Raw genomic sequence first — 20,130 nt, 5'->3', positions numbered from 1 at the left:
AATTTTATGTTCGTAAGAATTTTCAGCAATTATGCATTTGATTCATTATTTCATAAATTTCTATCTAAAGTTTATTTGTCCTTCAAAACTTCTGAAATAGTAGAGAAGTAACTTTCTGTTCCAAAATTGGAATTACTGGAGCTCAGTTTCTGTTCATATTCTGTCCATTCCAAAAAATAAAATGTGGATTTAATTTTAGTACAGTTCAGTGACTCTCTTTATTAGATGTGAATGATAAAGTTCATTTTATTGCCTCAGTGACTTTGACATAACTGGACAATCATTTCCCCAACAGTGTCATTTACTGAAGAGACAAAAGGAAGATACAATATTATCATTTTAGCTTTCACAAGAGCATATGACTTCTGGGATGGATTACGTTCTGCCATGGAAAATTTCATGGTCACTTTAGATATTTCAGGTAGAACTTTTATAATATATGCCCTTTAAGGAACTAATTCAAAAGGATTGTGCTTAAACACACCTAGAGGACTTTTTTCCTAATAAAGTTTATTCAGTCACATTGCCTAAAGTCACTGTCAATGGAATTTACTACTCCAAATGGTACACCATAAAGAACAGAATACTCGTATTTATTCTGAAGTATGTGAAGATGAAACTTATTGATAAAAGAGATATTTGACTCTTTTGTACTTTGTTAAGAAGCTTGCCCAGTAATTTCTGCTTTGCTCTAAACATTTTCTTCTTCAGTGCCCACACCAAGGACAAAAAAAGGAATAAAAGAAAGATGGTTTGGCTTAGAATATACTTGAGGGCACTACTGAGATTACATTTATTAGGACTGGACACTTGATTATATAAATATTTATGTACTAGAATAAATGAGTCTCTATAACCTTTTGTTTTTTCTGAGATTGGCAGTTTCGTGTTAATTATTCATTTTCTCACTTTGTGGCCTTAATATTTGAGTCACATTTGGAGTTCAGAATGAGGTAGTTTAGCAGTCGATCTCAGAGATTATTAGATCTTGGATGAAGTCAGTGATAGTAACACTGAACAAATGTGAAAAATTTGAAGTTATTTTTTGGAGTGTACCTCAAAGGCCTTGATGATGGACTGCAGCTGGGAGAGAGTCTTGGGTGATTCCTAGGTTTCTAGGTTCGTGAAACTGATTAGATACTGGTATCATTCATTGAAATATTGGAAGTAAAAAGGAGTATGTTTTGAAATCAGTGATGCAAACAGTTTCAGAATGGGTGTAACACACGGAAGAATATACCACACAAATTCAAAATAACATATTCTTGGAATATAGAAAAATAACTTAGAAGTCATCTAATCTGCCATCTCAGATAGTGACAGTTATATTGCTTCTGCTTGGATACTTCAAATGATAATATTCTCTTAGCTTTACAAATAGAGGAGAATACTTTTTAAAACATACGTCAGTTTTTGATATTCTGCTTATGATAGGGCCACATCTGCCTCTTTGTGTAATATATTGATGTAAAAAGTAGAGTTCTATAGAACTTTACCTGTTCAAGATGATATTAACATTTCTTAATAAAACATTTATTAAACATATACTATAAAAACATTTATTTTTTCTGTATGTTTATTTCTTATTAAAATGTAAAATATTTTATATTTTATAAGATGTAAAATATACTCTGTAAACAAAAATAATTGGATGATCTTTTTTCCTAGTTTCTAGAAGGTAGCCTCTAAATCCACGGGATAGCCTAAGGATATTTGTTGTTTACGCTGGGCCCCTCAAACTATTTTGCTGATAAGCTGAGTCATGGTGGGCCCCTACAAAGTTTATGCTAACAAAATGAGTCAGAATGAGGGCAGACCACCAGAAGGACCAACTATGTAATTAGAGGGTCAGCCTAATCTCAGGAAAAGAAAAGGCTAGTGACTGACTTTAATCTCCTGGTCAATGATTCAATCATTCTGACATAATGAAACCCCAAGAGAAGCCCTGGACATTGAGGGTGATAGGAAGTTCCCTAGTTGGCTATACTCTGCATACTGTCATCTATTGATGTGCCAAGTGATTAATGATCCTAGTGATGATGGAAGCTTTGCAGGTGGCACCCTCCCAGACCTCTCCCTCTGAGTCTCTCCCTTTGACTGGTTGTGATTTTTGCTACAATAAAATCAGAATAATAAGTATAGCACTTTTCTGAGTCCTGTGAGTTATTCTAACAAAGAATTGAATTTGAAATTGTTGCAGCTACCTACAGATTTGTAGCCAATGGTTAAAACTGAATGTAGCCTGAGAACCCTTACATTTGTGACTATTGTCTTAAGTGAGGTCAGTCTTGTGAAGGATTGTGTTTTTAATCACAAAGCTTGGCCTGCTTCTGAATAGTCAGTAGTAGAAGTACTGCATATTTGCATCATTATCATCCTAGGTTATGACTTTTTAATTTCATTACAGCTTATTGATTTTTTATACCAGAACAGATGCTTGTTTTTGGATATTATCATAAACTATACCCATGCACACCTGGATATTTTAAAAGATTTGAAAAACTCTATCTAAATATTAGCTATAAACTGGGTGCAGTGGTGCATTCCTATAGTCCCAGCTACTTGGAAGGCTAAGGCAGGAGGATCACTTGAACCTAGGAGTTCAAATTTAGCCTGGGCAAAAATAGCAAAACCCTGTCTCAAAAAATAAATAAATTACTTAACTATATTATTTAGAGTGATGTGTGATGTTAAGTAATACTGTTTTGAGAACAGATACGTCTGTTTTGAGAACAGATTCTTCTGTTTTTTTGAGGGGTAGAATATCATAGGTATTATATGTGAAATAATAAAGTATTGAGGGCTTGAGGTGTTTTTCTAGTTGCAAGCTAATCAATTAGTCTGCCATAGTTTTATATATATTGAGAGATATTTCAGACTGCTGGATCAGAGAAACATACCACGTATTATTTTACACACCAAAACCACCAAGCCAGAGTAGCATCTTAATACACATTTATTGAATCCCAGTCTTCAAACAGTGAGAACCAGATATCTGGGCATGCAGTGGGTTTGCCTTACAGGAGAGGAACTCCAAAGTATGCCACTCAGTGCTTATACAGGAACAGCCAGTATATCTGCCTGTTTTTCCTTCCGGAGAAAGAGACTTTATCTTTAACCTTGAATATCAAGAGATCCTCTCTGCTTATGAGGAGGTGAAGCTTTCTGGGTTTATTATCTTGACAAGCTATTATTCCTGTATAACAGAATTCCTATCTTTGTTGTTAAATCTGGATAAATGTGTATGTATACCTTTACAGACACAATTGCATATATATTTTACTAAGAATTTCTTTACATACGAATAGGATCATATATATGTATAGTCAGAACTGTATCTGTGTGTGGTTGTATATATCTTTTAAATCTCCGCTATCCAAGAAAACCACCATCTATGAATGAGGAAGTGGGCCCCCATCAGACACCAAATCTCCTGGCACCTTGACCTTGGACTTCTCAGCCTTCAGAACTGCGAGAAATAGTGTTTGTTGTTCAATCCATAAAGTCTATGCTATTTTTGTTATGGTAGCTAAAATGGACTAAGATTACAGCCTGCATAATTGATGCACTAAAACTTTTGACATATGAAGAAAATAATTGATAAATTGTTGAGAGAAATATTTTGTATTTAAGAAATAATTTCTGATTGACTTTAAAATCTTTATATGAACTGTTGAACTAAACCAATAGACTCCAGATGTGCTCATTATTTTATTACAATATATAATAAGAAATCAAGTGAAACAAAAGCCAAGAAATAAAGTAGGAAAGGAAGAATTACTTAGTTTGTCAATGTACAAATCATTTCATTAAGGTGCTTGCAAAATTGGGTTTTTTCTGAGTGCTTGGTGTTTTGTCTCTGCAGAATCAATGAATCTCCTTTGTTATTAGGTGATAACAGTTGAATTAGAGATTATACCTCTCTTTTGAAGTCCATTATAAAACCTAACAGAGTAACCAGTCAATGTCAATTTGTGTGTGCCATTTTCAGTTAGGTTCCTCTGAATCAGAAAAAAGAATAGCATGGGAGAAAAGAAGAACGGCAAGATGACTAGAAGCCAAGAACTAGACTTAAAATGCAGTTTCAGAAGAAGAGTTGTGTGCCTGTTACTAGCTGTTCTAAGAATAGTAAGAAAAGGAGGATACTTTAGCAAACTGAATGTTAAACAAATATTAATGGATCTCTTTGTAGAAACAGAAATGACAATACTTGCAAAGGAAACAATCAGAAAAGATAAATGAGTTGGGATCATAAAAGAGAAATTCAGACAACCGTGTCAGTATAAAATAAGGATGACAGGAAAGTAGTCAGTGAGATGTAACTCATTTCATTGATCTGCAATAGTGCATTTTTTAGGGTGAGAAAATGGTGCTATTGAATGTATATATATTAAGATTAAAATTTGACATTCTAAACAACATAAAACAAAAAAACTTGTATCTAAAAGTCATTCTTGGGCAATTGGATCACTTAATGTAAATTGAATTTTGCAATTTTTTTTTTTTTGAGACAGAGTTTTGCTTTTTTTGCCCAGGCTGGAGTGCAATGGTGTGATCTTGGCTCACTGCAACCTCTGCCTCCCGAGTTCAAGCAATTCTCCTGCCTCAGCCTCCCAAGTAGCTGGGATTACAGGTGCCTGCCACCACACCTGGCTAATTTTTTTGTATTTTTAGTAGAGACGGGGTTTCACCATGTTGGCCAGGATGGTCTCGATCTCATGACCTCATGATCCTCTTGCCTCGGCCTCCCAAAGTGCTAGGATTACAGGTGTGAGCCACCGCGCCCAGCCGTAAATTGAATTTTGTAAACAATGCAGTTTTCAAAAATATATCTATTGGAAAATATATTCCAACTGAATTTTCTGGGTATTGAAAGTTTCTGTAAGAAATTAGGTATAAAACATTAGATAAAAAGTTTTATTTGTCAGTTAATAGAGTTGCTAAAATGTAATCAAAAGAAGTTTTATTTGACGTAGGAATCTTCAAAGACTTTAATATACTAATATGTACTATAAGTAATTTGGTTAATATATAGTTTTCAGTATTTCCTCAATAATTTCCCCCTTTTTCTCATTCATTTATTCACTCCTCCTTCACTCAGAAAAACACTTTTTTACGTGTCTTCCAAATACCAGGCACTGTTCTAGGCAGTGGGAATACAGCAATGCAAAAAAGACAAAAAATTCTGCCTTCATATATTTTGTTTTCAAATTGAGCATCTTCTGGGTCTAATAGTATATGTGACAGTTTTTGAAAATATATAAACATATTGTCTCAGAATTTAAACAGGGTTATAGGTAATACTTGTATAAGTAAAATAACATTGTGGCTTTGGATATTTTGTGAACAGAGATCTTGACTATTTTGATACTGCTTTGCAAATACAAATACATCTATTTTTATGTAGTTGAGATTATTATTATTTTTCTAATTAGTTTGCCCTTAATTAAGATGTTAAGATCAAAGCTAATTTCTTAATCTTAGTGAATTGTTGTTTCATGGAAAACTAAAGGACTATATGCTTAAATTTTTCTTATTATTATTTTAAGTTCTAGGGTACATGTGCAAATGCGCAGGTTTGACACATAGGTATACATGTGCCATGTCGGTTTGCTGCACCCATCAACTCATCATTTACATTAGGTATTTCTCCTAATGCTATCCCTCCCCCAGCACCCCCACCCCCTGACAGGCCCTGGTGTGTCATGTTCCCTGCTCTGTGTCCAAGTGATCTCACTGTTCAGTTCCCACCTATGAGTGACAACATGCGGTGTTTGGTTTTCTGTCCTTGCGATAGTTTGCTGAGAATGATGGTTTCCAGCTTCATCAATGTCCCTGCAAAGGACATGAACTCATCATTTTTTATGGCTGCATAGTATTCCATGGTGTATATGTGCCACATGTTCTTCATCCAATCTATCATTGATGGATATTTGGGTTGGTTCCAAGTCTTTGCTATTGTGAATAGTGCCTCAGTAAACATACGTGTGCATACGTCTTTATAGTAGCATGATTTATAATCCTTTGGGTACATACCCAGTAATGCGATTGCTGGGTCAAATGGTAATTCTAGTTTTAGATCCCTGAGGAATCACCACACTGTCTTCCACAATGATTAAACTAATTTACACTCCCACCAACAGTGTAAAAGATTTCCTATTTCTCCACATCCTCTCCAGCATCTGTTGTTTCCTGACTTTTTAATGATTGTCATTCTAATTGGTGTGAGAGGGTATCTCATTGTGGTTTTGATTTGCATTTCTCTGACGACCAGTGATAATGAGCATCTGTTGGCTGCATAGATGTCTTCTTTTGAGAAGTCTCTGTTCATATCCTTTGCTCACTTGTTGATGGGCTTGTTTTTTTCTTGTGAATTTGAGTTCTTTGTAGATTCTGGATATTAGCCCTTTGTCAGATGGGTAGATTGCAAAAATTTTCTCCCATTCTGTAGGTTGCCTGTTCACTCTGCTGGTAGTTTCCTTTGCCATGCAGAAGCTCTTTAGTTTAATTAGGTGCCATTTGTCTATTTTGGCTTTGCTTTTTGCCAAAAAAGCATTGCTTTTTTTGTTTTGTTTTTTGTTTTTGCCAAAAGAGCATTGCTTTTTTTTGTTTTTTTCTGCCAAAAAAGCATTGCTTTTTTGCTGGCATTGCTTTTGGTGTTTTAGCCATGAAGTCCTTGCCCATGCCTATGTCCTGAATGGTGTTACCTAGGTTTTCTTCTAGGGATTTTATGGTTTCAGGCCTAATATTTAAGTCTTTAATCCATCTTGAATTAATTTTTGTATAATGTGTAATGAAGGGATCCAGTTTCAGCTTTCTACATATGGCTAGCCAGTTTTCCCAGCACCATTTATTAAATAGGGAATCCTTTCTCCATTTCTTGTTTTTCTCAGGTTTGTCAAAGATCAGATGGTTGTAGATGTGTGGTGTTATTTCTGAGGCCTGTGTTCTGTTCTATTGGTCTATATTTCTGTTTTTGTACCAGTACCATGCTGTTTTGGTTACTGTAGCCTTGTAGTATAGTTTGAAGTCAGGTAGTGTGATGCCTCCAGCTTTGTTCTTTTGGCTTAGGATTGACTTGGCAATGCAGGCTGTTTTTTGGTTCCATATGAACTTTAAAGTAGTTTTTTCCAATTCTGTGAAGAAAGTCATTGGTAGCTTGATTGGGATGGCATTGAATCTATAAATTACCTTGGGCCGTATGGCCATTTTCACGATATTGATTCTCCCTATCCATGAGCATGGAATATTCTTCCATTTGTTTGTGTCCTCTTTTATTTCATTGAGCAGTGATTTGTAGTTCTCCTTGAAGAATTCCTTCACATCCCTTGTAACTTGGATTCCTATGTATTTTATTCTCTTTTTAGCAATTGTGAATGGGAATTCACTCATGATTTGGCTCTCTGTTTGTCTGTTATTTGTGTATGGGAATGCTTGTGATTTTTGCACATTGGTTTTGTATCCTGAGAATTTGCTGAAGTTGCTTATCAGCTTAAGGGGATTTTGGGCTGAGATGATGGGGTTTTCTAAATATACAATTATGTAATCTGCAAACAGGGACAATTTGACTTCCTCTTTTCCTAATTGAATACCCTTTATTTCTTTCTCTTGCCTAATTGCCTTGGCCAAAACTTCCAACACTATGTTGAAAAGGAGTGGTGAGAGAGGGCATCCTTGTCTTGTGCTGGTGTTCAAAGGGAATGCTTCCAGCTTTTGCCCATTCAGTATGATATTGGCTGTGGGTTTGTCATAAATAGCTCTTATTATTTTGAGATACGTTCCATCAATACTTAGTTTATTGAGAGATTTTAGCATGAAAGGCTGTAATTTTTGTCAAAGGCCTTTTCTGCATCTATTGAGATAATCATGTGGTTTTTGTCATTGGTTCTGTTTATGTGATGGGTTACCTTTATTGATTTGTGTATTTTGAACCAGCCTTGCATCCCAGGGATGAAGCCCACTTGATCATGGTGGATAAGCTTTTTGATATGCTGCTGGATTTGGTTTGCCAGTATTTTACTGAAGATTTTTGCTTCGATGTTCATCAGGGATATTGGTCTAAAATTCTCTTTTTTTGTTGTGTCTCTGCCAGGCTTTAGTATCAGGATGATGTTGGCCTCATAAAATGAGTTAGGGAAGACTCCCTCTTTTTCTATTTATTGGAATAGTTTCAGAAGGAATGGTACCACCTCCTCTTTGTACCACTGGTAGAATTTGGCTGGGAATCCATCTGGTCCTGGACTTTTTTGGGTTGGCAGGCTATTAATTATTGTCTCAATTTCAGAGCCTGTTATTGGTCTATTCAAAGATTCAACTTCTTCCTGCCTTAGTCTTGGGAGGGTGTATGTGTCCAGGAATTTATCCATTTCTTCTAGATTTTCTAGTTTATTTGCATAGAGGTGTTTATAGTATTCTCTGATGGTAGTTTGTATTTCTGTGGGATCGGTGGTGGTATCCCTCTTATTTTTTATTGCATCTATTTGATTCTTCTCTCTTTTCTTCTTTATTAGTCTTGCTAGTGGTCTATCAATTTTGTTCATCTTTTCAAAAAAAAAGCTCCTAGATTCATTGATTTTTGAAGGTTTTTTTGTGTCTATCTCTTTCAGTTCTGCTCTGATCTTAGTTATTTTTTGCCTTCTGCTAGCTTTTGAATTTGTTTGCTCTCTTGCTTCTCTAGTTCTTTTAATTGTGATGTTAGGGTATCGATTTTAGATCTTTCCTGCTTTCTCTTGTGGGCATTTAGTGCTATAAATTTCCCTCTACACACTGCTTTAAATGTGTCCCAGAGATTCTTGTACATTGTGTTTTTGTTCTCATTGGTTTCAAAGAACAACCTTATTTCTGCCTTCATTTCGTTATTTACCCAGTAGTCATTCAGTGGCAAGTTGTTCAGTTTCCATGCAGTTGTGCAGTTTTGAGTGAGTTTCTTAATCCTGAGTTCTAATTTGCACATGGTCTGAGAGACAGTTTGTTGTGATTTTTGTTCTTTTACATTTGCTGAGGGATGATTTACTTCCAATTATGTGGTCAATTTTAGAATGAGTGCAATGTGGTGTTGAGAAGAATGTATATGCTGTTGATTTGGGGTGGAGAGTTCTGTGGATGTCTATTAGGTCTGCTTGTTGCAGAGCTGAGTTCAGGTCCTGGATATCCTTGTTAACCTTCTGTCTTGTTGATATGTCTAATTTTGACAGTGGGGTGTTAAAGTCTCCCATTATTATTGTGTGGGAGTCTTAGTCTCTTTGTAGCTTTCTAAAGACTTCTTTTATGAATCTGGATGCTACTGTATTTGGTGCATATATATTTAGGACAGTTAGCTCTTCTTGTTGAATTGATCCCTTTACCATTATGTAATGGCTTTCTTTGTCTCTTTTCATCTTTGCTGGTTTAAAGTCTATTTTATCAGAGACTAGGATTGCAACCCCTGCTTTTTTTTTTTCTTTACATTTGCTGGGTGTATCTCCCTCCATCCCTTTATTTTAAGCCTATGTGCGTCTTTGCACTTGAGATGGCTCTCCTGAATACAGCACACTGATGGGTCTTGACTCTATCTATTTTTCCAGTCTGTTTCTTTTAACTGGATCATCTAGCCCATTTACATTTAAGGTTAATATTGTTGTGTGTGAATTTGATCCTGTCATTATGATGATTGCTGGTTATTTTGCCCACTAATTGATCCAGTTTCTTCATAGCCTCAATGGTCTTTACAATTTGGCCTGTTTTTGCATGGCTGGTACCAGTTGTTTCTTTCCATGTTTAGTCCTTCCTTTAGGAGCTCTTGTAAGGCACGCCTGGTGGTGTGAAAATCTCTCAGCATTTGCTTGTCTGTAAAGGATTTTATTTCTCCTTCACTTATGAAGCTTAATTTGGCTGGATATGAAATTCTGGGTTGAAAATTATTTTCTTTAAGAATGTTGAATATTGGCCCCCACTCTCTTCTGGCTTGCAGGGTTTCTGCTGAGAGATCCGCTGTTAGTTTTATGGGCTTCCCTTTGTGGGTAACTCAACCTTTCTCTCTGGCTGCCCTTAACATTTTTTCCCTCATTTCAACCTTGGTGAATCTTGGTGAATCCAACAATTATGTGTCTTGGGGTTGCTCTTCTCGAGGATTATCTTTGTGGTATTCTTTGTATTTCCTGAATTTGAATGTTGGCCACCTTGCTATGCTGGCGAAGTTCTCCTGGATAATATCCTGAAGAGTGTTTTCCAACTTGGTTCCATTCTCCCCATCACTTACAGGTACACCAATCAAACGTAGATTTGGTCTTTTCACATAGTCCCATATTTCTTGGAGGCTTTGTTCGTTTCTTTTTACTCTTTTTTCTCTAACCTTGTTTTCTTGCTTTATTTCCTTAATTTGATCATCAATCACTGATACTCTTTCTTCCACTTGATCAAATCAGCTATTGAAGCTTGTGCATGCGTCACAGAGTTCTTGTGCCATGGTTTTCAGCTCCATCAGGTCATTTAAGGTCTTCTCTACACTGTTTATTCTAGTTAGCCATTTGTCTAATTTTTTTTTCAAGGTTTTTAGCTTCCTTGTAATGGGTTCGAACATCCTCTTTTAGCTCAGAGGATTTTATCACTGATCTTCTGAAGCCTACTTCTGTCAACTCATCAAAGTCATTCTCCATCTAGCTTTGTTCCATTGCTGGTGAGGAGTTGTGATCCTTTGGAGGAGAAAAGGTACTCTAATTTTTAGAATTTTTAGCTGTTCTGCTCTGGTTTCTCCCCATCTTTGTGGTTTTATCTACCTCTAGTCTTTGATGTTGGTGACCTACAGATGGGGTTTTGGTGTAGATTACCTTTTTGTTGATGTTGATGCTATTCCTTTCGGTTAGTTTTCCTTCTAACAGTCAGGTCCCTCAGCTGCAGGTCTGTTGGAGTTTGCTGGAGTTCCACTCCACACCCTGTTTGCCTGGGTATAACCAGCGGAGGCTGCAGAACAGCAAATATTGCTGCCTGATCCTTCCTCTGGAAGCTTCATCCCAGAGGGGTAGCCTATATGAGGTGTCTGTGGGCCCCTACTGGGAGGTGTCTCTCAATTAGGCTACACAGGGGTCAGGGACGCACTTGAGGAGGAAGTCTGTCCATTCTCAGCACTCAAATCCCATGCTGGGAGAACCACTGCTCCCTTCAGAGCTGTCAGACTGGGACGTTTAAGTCTGCAGAAGTTGTCTGCTGCCTTTCTTTCAGCTATGCCCTGCCCACAGAGATGGCGTCTAGAGGCAGTAGGCCTTGTTGAGCTGTGATGGGCTCCACCCAGTTTGAGCTTCCTGGATGCTTTGTTTACCTACTCAAGCCTCAGCAATGGCAGATGCCCATCCCCCAGCCAGGCTGCCTTCTTGGGGATCAATCTCAGAATGCTGCGCTAGCACTGAGCAAGGCTTCGTGGGTGTGGGAGCTGCCAAGCCAGGCATGGGTGAGAAGCATCTTGTCTGCTGGTTGCTAAGACCTTGGGAACAGTACAGTATTTGGGCAACAGTGTCTCATTTTTCCAGGTAATCTGTGACGGCTTCCCTTGGCTGGGCTGCACCCACTCTCCAACCAGTCCCAATGAGATGAACCAGGTACCTCAGCTGGAAATGCAGAAATCACTCGTTTTCTGCATCGATCATGCTGGGAGCTGCAGACTGGAGCTGTTCCTATTTGGCCACCTTGGAATGCCCTAATGTTTAAACATTTAGGCCCTTGTTTCAGTCAGCATTCTCCAGAGATACAAAGCATATTACAGAATGTGTGTGTGTATGTGTGTGTGTGTGTTTGTGTGTCTTCTGAGAGAGAGAGAAAGGAAAAAGAGATTTTAAGGAATTGACTCAGACAATTGTGTTGGCTGGCAAATTTGAAATCTATAGGAGATGAAGCTGAAAATTTATGTAAGAGTTGATATTGCAGTCTTGAATCTGAAATCCATAGGGCAGGACAGTAGGCTGGACACTTACCTGGGCTTTCTATGTTATAGCCATAAGGCAGAATCCCTTATTTCCAAAGGGAATTCAGTTTTTGCTCTTAAGGCCGTCAACTGACTGGATGAGGCCTGCTCACAATATGAAAAGTAATTGGCTTTACTTAAAGTCAACTGGTTTTAAATGTTAATTACCTCTCGAAAATGTCTTCACAGCAATGTCTAGCCTGGTTTTTGTCCACACAACTGGGTTCTGTAGAATAGACAAGTTAACCATAAAACTATCACAGCCCTCAAATTAAAAATAAAATATATCTAACAAATATAGTTCCAAAATATACTAAAGATCTATATGCTCTTTTTATAATGTAAAATGTATTTAATAATATGCAAATATTGTTTAAAAACTCAAGTATTTCTAAAACAATTCTCACCAAGCCATCTCTTCTTGACACCTAGTTCCACAATCTAGAAGGATGCATACTACATAAGCTGTTTCTTCTGGTGGTTATCTCCATAAGAATTACAATATCCCACGCTACTCTTTCTTGTTTCACCCACTTTTAACATTCTCTGTGGCTTGCTCTAATGATAAATGGGTCAGATTCCTAAGAAGCCCAGTAGACTTGTGCCATTCAAACCCTCCCAACCGTGATCCTTCTTTCTCAGGCATCTGACACCAACAAAGCAACCAGCCTGCCTCCCCTCCCTCTCAGCACCCCACTTCCTTAGGCATTGGGAATGCCAGCTAAGATGTCTGCTAAGTGCCCTGATTCCTTAGAGGCTGATATTTGTGTGTTAAAAGGGGACATGGAAGAAGGGGAATTTAAAAAGGAAGGTAGGGAGAAAAATTGAAGAAGACAAAAAATGGTAAAGGTCATAATTTTTTCTTGCAAAGTAACATGTTCAAGAGACATCTCTTATTATTAATCTATCTCTAAATCCTAACTGACTAATAAAGATTTCCACCTTTTTAAGAATTTTTTAAATTTATTTGAACACTTTATAAATTGCATTTTCTTAAAATGTATATATTCATATATACAGACACACCTACATATATATACAGATATATTCAAAGATACCCCTCCTTCTCTCTTTCCTTCTTTCCTTTTTTCCTCCCTCCCTTCCTCTCCCTTTCATTTTCTTCCTTTCTTTGTCTTCTCCCTTTTTATGTCAATCTACCTATCTACCTACCCATCATCTATCATCTATTTACATATATATAAACATACATTTGTATATATTTTAAAAGACTGGAAACTATTGAACAAATATTTGGTGTTTGATTTGGCAGCACAAATACAAATATAATTTACATACCTCCGACTCAATAATTTCTATTAAAATATAGTCTTTGGAAATGCATACAACTATATTAACGCAGCATCATTATTAATATTGAATTTGTAAGTAATCCATTAAAAGAGGAATAAAGAAATTAACATACTGCATTGTGGGATATTATATAGTCACTAAAAATAATAGAGTACTACTTCTTTCATGTGAAAGAATGTCTATAATATTATGTTGAGTACAAACAGCAAGTTGTAGCATAGGATATAAAATATTTTGTAAAAAAGCAAGCATTGTATGTATGTGTATATACATTGTACATATAATATAGTCATATATCACATAGTACTTTATAATATTCTTATATAAAACTGTTCAGATGATTTCAAATATATAATAGACATTCATTGATTTTTTTTAATTTTATTTACTCATCTACTATTAAATACAAATTGAATGCTTGCCTAGCAAAGCACAATGCTAAGCTCTGGACCTACAGAGAAAAATAAGACAAAGTTTTATCCTCAAAGAGCTTAATAGTGAGAAGAGCTGGGCTAGAATAAAACTGAAATATACTTAAACTTTACTTGTCCCAAGATGGAAGTTCGTATGTCATACAAATACTGTGCAAGGGGCAAAATAGACATTTACTCACTGATAAAGGCTAAAGAAAAAAAGGTTCAGAGACAAGGTGGGAAATAAGGGGAGGTGCTAGAATGTACAAAGTTACTTCACAGTGGTTAAAATGGTTTAAAAGGCTTTGAAATTGTAGGATAATCTATTAAGTAGAGAATATAATGTGCTATTTACTCCATGATCTTCAATTTAATTCTAATATTATGTTTGCTTTATTAACTATTTATAATTAGTATATTAGAAAGAAATGTTCAGAGTGTTTTTTTTTAAAATTCCATAAAAATGGTTCTAGGTTTAGAAAACTAATGCAATGTGATTTTAAAATTTTCTGATTAAACAAAATGTAGATGTAAAGAATTATTAATATAGAGTACTAATCATGGCCATCTTGAAAGGAGATCTACTCATAATTCCAATATTGCATTTTAAATAATGCTAGTTATACTGCATAACACTCATAGCCTCAAGAAACAATGCCATTCAAAATCTACAACTGATAAAATTACAGAATAAAATAAAAATAATGAAAAATATTATATGAGAAGCCAGGTAAGTTGTTTATAACAGAGGTTTAGAAAATCATATGTGAATTTCACCTGAGGACTGTAATTGTGAATAGAAAGAACTTATTCCCTTAAAGCTAAAATTTTGAGGTACAAGATGTTGATTTTTCTCTCATAGAAGACAGCCTAAATGCAAAGTGGCATTCTCTTCAATTTAACCACAGACCACCACAGAACTTTTGACATCCTAAGGATTCCAATAGTAGGCACTAGTAGCTGGAAAAAAAAATCAGCCATCAAAAGTAAAAAAGAAGTGTATTGGTATTACTTAGAGTAGTTTTAAAGCCTAGGTAATGCAGTGATACTCACTGGAAGCAAAAATAGTTTCCCCAAAATTAGATGGATTTCTGGGGATTAGGCTGCATGCAGTTGTTTACAAAGTGGCAATGTCTAGGAGCTACCATAAAGAATCTTATCAGGAAATGCTGGTGAACACATCACATATGAGATATAATATATGAAAATTTTATGAATGTTGGATGTGGCTCAAGTTTTGTATCAAAATGAAACAAGAACCATAAAGATGGATCTTCACATATTTTGATCACTTGAAATCTCAACCACCAATAATGTATTTGTGAATGCTTATAACTGTTTACAATTATTACTTATTATTTAATTATGGTAAGCAACCATCCATTGTAGTCTATAATGTACCAGTACTTTTCATATCGTCATCTCATTTATACCCTACAACAACCCAACAAATTAGTTATTATTGTTTTCAACTTGCATAAGAAGAAACAGTAAAACCAAAGTTAAATAACAGATGAAGTGTTTACAGCAGTCCTGATATTTAAAACCTGGTTTATTAGAGGTCAAAACTATATTCTCCACTTTCTACTTAGCCCTGAGTTATTCTTAAGATAGTAATACACATAAGGCCCTCAACACATAGAGCAATGCCCAGCACATAAGAAGCACTCAATAAATATTTTTGGATAAAATTAGCAATATGAATATAATTTGAACAGTGTTTACTCTCACAGGTAAATACATAAATCCTAAACTAAGATTGAACACAAAGGTGATTGTCTCAACTCTGATGATACCTTGCAAAAGGAAATGGCTGATTTTTCTTTTCGTTATCCAATAAGAGCATGTTTAAAATGTGCTTTCGGCTGGGCGCGGTGGCTCATGCCTGTAATCCCAGCAATTTGGGAGGTCGAGGCGGGCAGATCACAAGGTCAGGAGATCAAGACCATCCTGGCTAACACACGGTGAAACCCCGTGTCTACTGAAAATACAAAAAAATTAGCCAGGTGCAATGGCGGGCGCCTGTAGTCCCAGCTACTCAGGAGGCTGAGACAGGAGAATGGCATGAACCTGGGAGGCAGAGCTTGCAGTGAGCCGAGATTGTGCCACTGCTCTCCAGCCTGGGCAAAAGAGTGAGACTCTGTCTCAAAAAAAAAAAAAAAAAAAAAAAAAAAGTGCTTTCTCTTTTGAGATATCTCTTTTCAAGCACTGGTTCCCCACTTTTCTAAACCTATTCAAATATGTAAATTGACTTTGGGATAAGCAAATGTATTCAAACATTTAAATAATTTAACCCTTTAGGGGGAAAAAGTAGTTAATTTTTTTTAATTGTATGTGTATTTCATTTTTGTTAACACAATGAATTACTTAAAGAAAGACAATTTTGGTGTTTACAAATGTGTCCTGGCTTGCATGCTTGGAATAGACTGCAGCCAACTCATTTCTACTAGTCAATACTTATTGATCACAATCAGAGTTATTTATTCAGCTATAGTGGTCATAAACTATAGCAATAAAATTTATTTTATGGTAATAAATTACAACTTTAATTAGAAGCTCTTTTACGTGATTATTTTCACTTGTGAGGATAACTTTATTGTTATTTAGAGCCCTTATGTACAATCAATACTCTATTAAGCCCCAAAGCTAACAGTTTGAATCAAAAATTCAAAAGCTGTCTTCAATGAAAAAATCATTATCATTATTATCTTGTTGTTTAATATTTATTGTGGACCACATTTCTTCACTAAGCTTTTACATTATTTATCTTGGTTATAAAGGTCTCAATAAAATATCCATAACAAAAATGAGAAAATTTCCTGTTTGCTCAAGCTTGAAAAGGTCATTACTTTTTACCTTGAGTTTCTCTATATGCTGAAGTAGCTAAAATTTTATTTGAACAAAGAAGCTCAGAAAAGTTAAGATTGATATCTTCAAAGGTTTCTAAAGGATGAAAAAAATTCCCCTGTATGCTTTTTGCCTTTTACTTCAGTATTATTCCAAATCAATTAGTAATCAAGCCACTTAGCAAGAGATATTGCACTTCACTCTTCCATGCTAGCTGCTATCTTTTGGTTTTACTGTTTAACATAACATGTAGAAAACGATCAATTATTCACAAACTCCTATCTTTTCTGATGTAATCCAACACACACAAAATATTATATTAGAAATTCTGCACAATTCTGATAGATGTTACTAAAATAGAGATAATTATTCAAACAAATATCACTAATAGGTAGTTACCATGTAATTCCCTAAGGGGTATACAAAATATAAGATCCAGCTTTGAATCAAGCTGGAAAAGGATTCACACACAAATTGATATGTATGTGTATATATAACAAAATATATAGAAGACATAATAAATGTGAATACAGAATTAACAAATATAAAGAGATTTCAAAAGGCAATTCATGTGTTAGTTGCCAATGAAAAGAGACAAACTCTATAAAATGTTTGAAGAGATTTATTCTGAGCCAAATACAAGTGACCATGGCCAGTGACACAGCCCTCAGGAGGTCCTGAGAACCTTGTGTCCAAGGTGGTCAGGGTACAGCTTGGTTTTATGTATTTTAGGGGGGCATGAGACATCAATCAAATACATTGAATAAGTACATTCGTTTGGTTCAGAAAGGTGGGACAACTCAAAGCAGGGGCTTCCAGACTATAGATAAATTTAAACATTTTCCGATTGAGTTTATCTGAAGACCTGGGATTAATGGAAAAGAATGTTCAGGTTAAGATAAAGGATTGTGGGGACCAAGTTTTATTGTGCAAAGGAATCTCTCAGCAGACTGAGAGAGAGAGAGCAAGTTGTAAAATGTTTCTTATGGGTCCTAAAAGGGTGCCTGGGTCTTAGTTAATTGTCTCCTAGATCTGGAAATAAAGGAAAACACAGGGGAAAGGAGATTCTCTATAGAATGTGGATTTTTCACACAAGAGACTTTGCAGGGTATCAGGGGAACCTGCCCCCAATATTTCAACGTAGGTTCTTTCTATTTTCCCTAAGTGTTGGCCAGTCTGAGAAATAAAGAGAAAGAGTACAAAGAGAGGAATTTTACAGCTGGGCCTCTGGGGGTGACATCACATATTGGTAGGTCCATGATGCCCACGTAAGCCACAAAACCAGCAGGTTTTTATCAAGGACTTCAAAAGGGGAGGGGGTGTATGAACAGGGAGTAGGTCACAAGGATCACATGCTTCAAAGGGCAAAAAGGAGAACAAAGATCACATGCTTCTGAGGCCAATAAAGATCACAAGGCAAAGGGCAAAATCAAAAACTCCTAATAAGGGTCTATGTTCAGCTGTGCACATATTGTCTTGATAAACATCTTAAACAACAGAAAACAGGGTTCAAGAACAGAGAATTGGTCTGATCTCAAATTTACCAGGGAGTGTTTTTTTTTCCCACTCTAATAAGCCTGAGGGTACTGCAGGAGACCAGGGTGTATTTCAGCCCTCATCTCCACCACATAAGACAGACACTCCCAGATCGGTCATTTATAGACCTCCCCCCAGGAATTCAATTCTTTTCCTAGGGTCTTACTATTCCTTGCTAGGAAAGAATTTGGCGATATCTCTCCTACTTATAGGCTCTCTGCAAGAAGAAAAATATGGCTTTTTTCGCCCGACCCCGTAGGCAGTCAGACCTTATGGTTAACTTCCCTTGTTCCCTAAAATCGCTGTTATTCTGTTCATTTTCAAGGTGCACTGATTTCATATTATATTGTTCAAACACACATGTTTTACCATCCATTTGTACAGTTAATGCAATCATCACAGGGTCCTGAGGTGATATACATCCTCAGCTTATGAAGATAAGAGGATTCAGAGAATAAAGTAAGACAGGCATAAGAAATTACAAGAGTATTATTAGAGAGCTGATAAATGTCCATGAAATCTTCACAATTTATGTTTCCTCTGCCACAGCTCCAGCCAGTCCCTCCATTTGGGGTCTCTGACTTCCCACAACAGCAGGGCAATTTCAAGGCTTGGTGAGGAAATATATTTTGAAATTAAATATTTTTTTCTTATCTTGCTATGCCAGAGTCAGATTGAAAGGCAAATCACAATACACAGGGTCAAATAAAACCCATCTGATAAGAATCCACGGTTTGTAGGGCACGATTCCCCAGACCCCTTAGGTAGGAATTTGGGCAAGACAAAAAATCAGAGCTTAGTCCTCATGCTGAAGGTGAGAGATATTATTTTGGAATCTATTTGGATTCATTTTTATTTAACAAGTAAGCGCTACCAGTTAGGATTATGTTCGGCTGCCAGTAAGAGATATTAAATTCCCCTAATAGTTTAAACACTCAGAATATCTGGGGGTGTGCATTTCAGGACAAATATGGCATACTTTTCTCTAAAAAGCCCTCACAGACCTAGAATCTCTTGTAAACCCAAAATATAGCCCATATTCTTATAGTCCAAAGAGTATTCCACCTTCCAGTTATTAAGAATAAGGAAAAGAATAAAGGCCAAAAGTCACATATATTCATGTATCTTTTTTATTAATTTGTTAAATGTCATCAAGGCTACTTTCACAATTTGCTCAACTTGACTAAAATTTAGACAAGTTTCTTTCTGACTATAGGCCCTGAATATGGTTTGGTTGTGTCCCCACCCAAAATCTCATCTTACATTGTAATCTCCATGTGTCAAGGATGCCACCAGGTGGAGGCAATTACATCATGGGGTGATTTCCCCCATGCTGTTCTCATGATAGTGAGTGAGTCTCAAGAGATTTGATGTTTTTATAAGCATCTGGCATTTCCCCTGCTTGCCCTCACCCTGTCCTGCCATCCTGTGAAGAAGGTGCCTGCTTCTCCTTTGCCTTCTGCCATGATTATAAGTTTCCTGATGCTTCCCCAGCAATGAGGAATTGTAAGTCAATTAAACCTCTTTCCTTTATAAATTACCCAATCTCAGATACTTCTTCATAGCAGTGTGACAATGAACTAATACAGGCCTCTAGCCTCCCTTTTATTAGAGTATTTACCTTAGAAAACTTGTAATTGCAAATATTTCCCTTGCCCCTTTCAAATGTGTATAAACCTTCACTCAGCCTATTGCCCAGTTTTATAACCCAAGAATGTCTTTCTCAAGGCCTAGGAGCTATCCTTTTGGAGTGAAATTATCAAGAAAGAGTCGCTATCAGTTTCCATGAAAGGATAGGAACCTAACTTTGATGGGCACCAACTATGAAACACAGGTGGTCTAATAACAGAGGATAACATTAGCAAACTCTGGAATAACTCAACATGCTCAATGCATCCCACTGATGAGCCTACCCTACCTAGTGTCCTCTCCTCCATTACTGGGATGAATAGTACTTTTCCACTATCCATCCCAGTGCTTAACACTCTCCACCCACCATTTGGATTAACCACAGTTGAGTTCAACGTCTCTCCCCTATTGCAACTGTTCTGAATAAGGTATTTTCCCATTTAACTTTGCCCATTAGAATTT

General features: G+C 36.3%; 1 annotated feature.

The window, feature by feature from the left end:
• Positions 1,132-1,332: a silencer, noted in NCBI's record as "peak2077 fragment used in MPRA reporter construct". NCBI's record gives its function as "represses an SCP1 promoter by STARR-seq MPRAs in K562 erythroleukemia cells {active_cell/tissue: K562}" and the evidence as "EXISTENCE:reporter gene assay evidence [ECO:0000049][PMID:32103011]".

This window comes from Homo sapiens, chromosome 13 (assembly GCF_000001405.40).
Source record: "Homo sapiens chromosome 13, GRCh38.p14 Primary Assembly".
Lineage (NCBI taxonomy): Eukaryota > Metazoa > Chordata > Mammalia > Primates > Hominidae > Homo > Homo sapiens.
The sequence above is the reverse complement of the archived record's forward strand: the minus strand, read 5'-3'. Positions and strand labels throughout refer to the sequence as shown.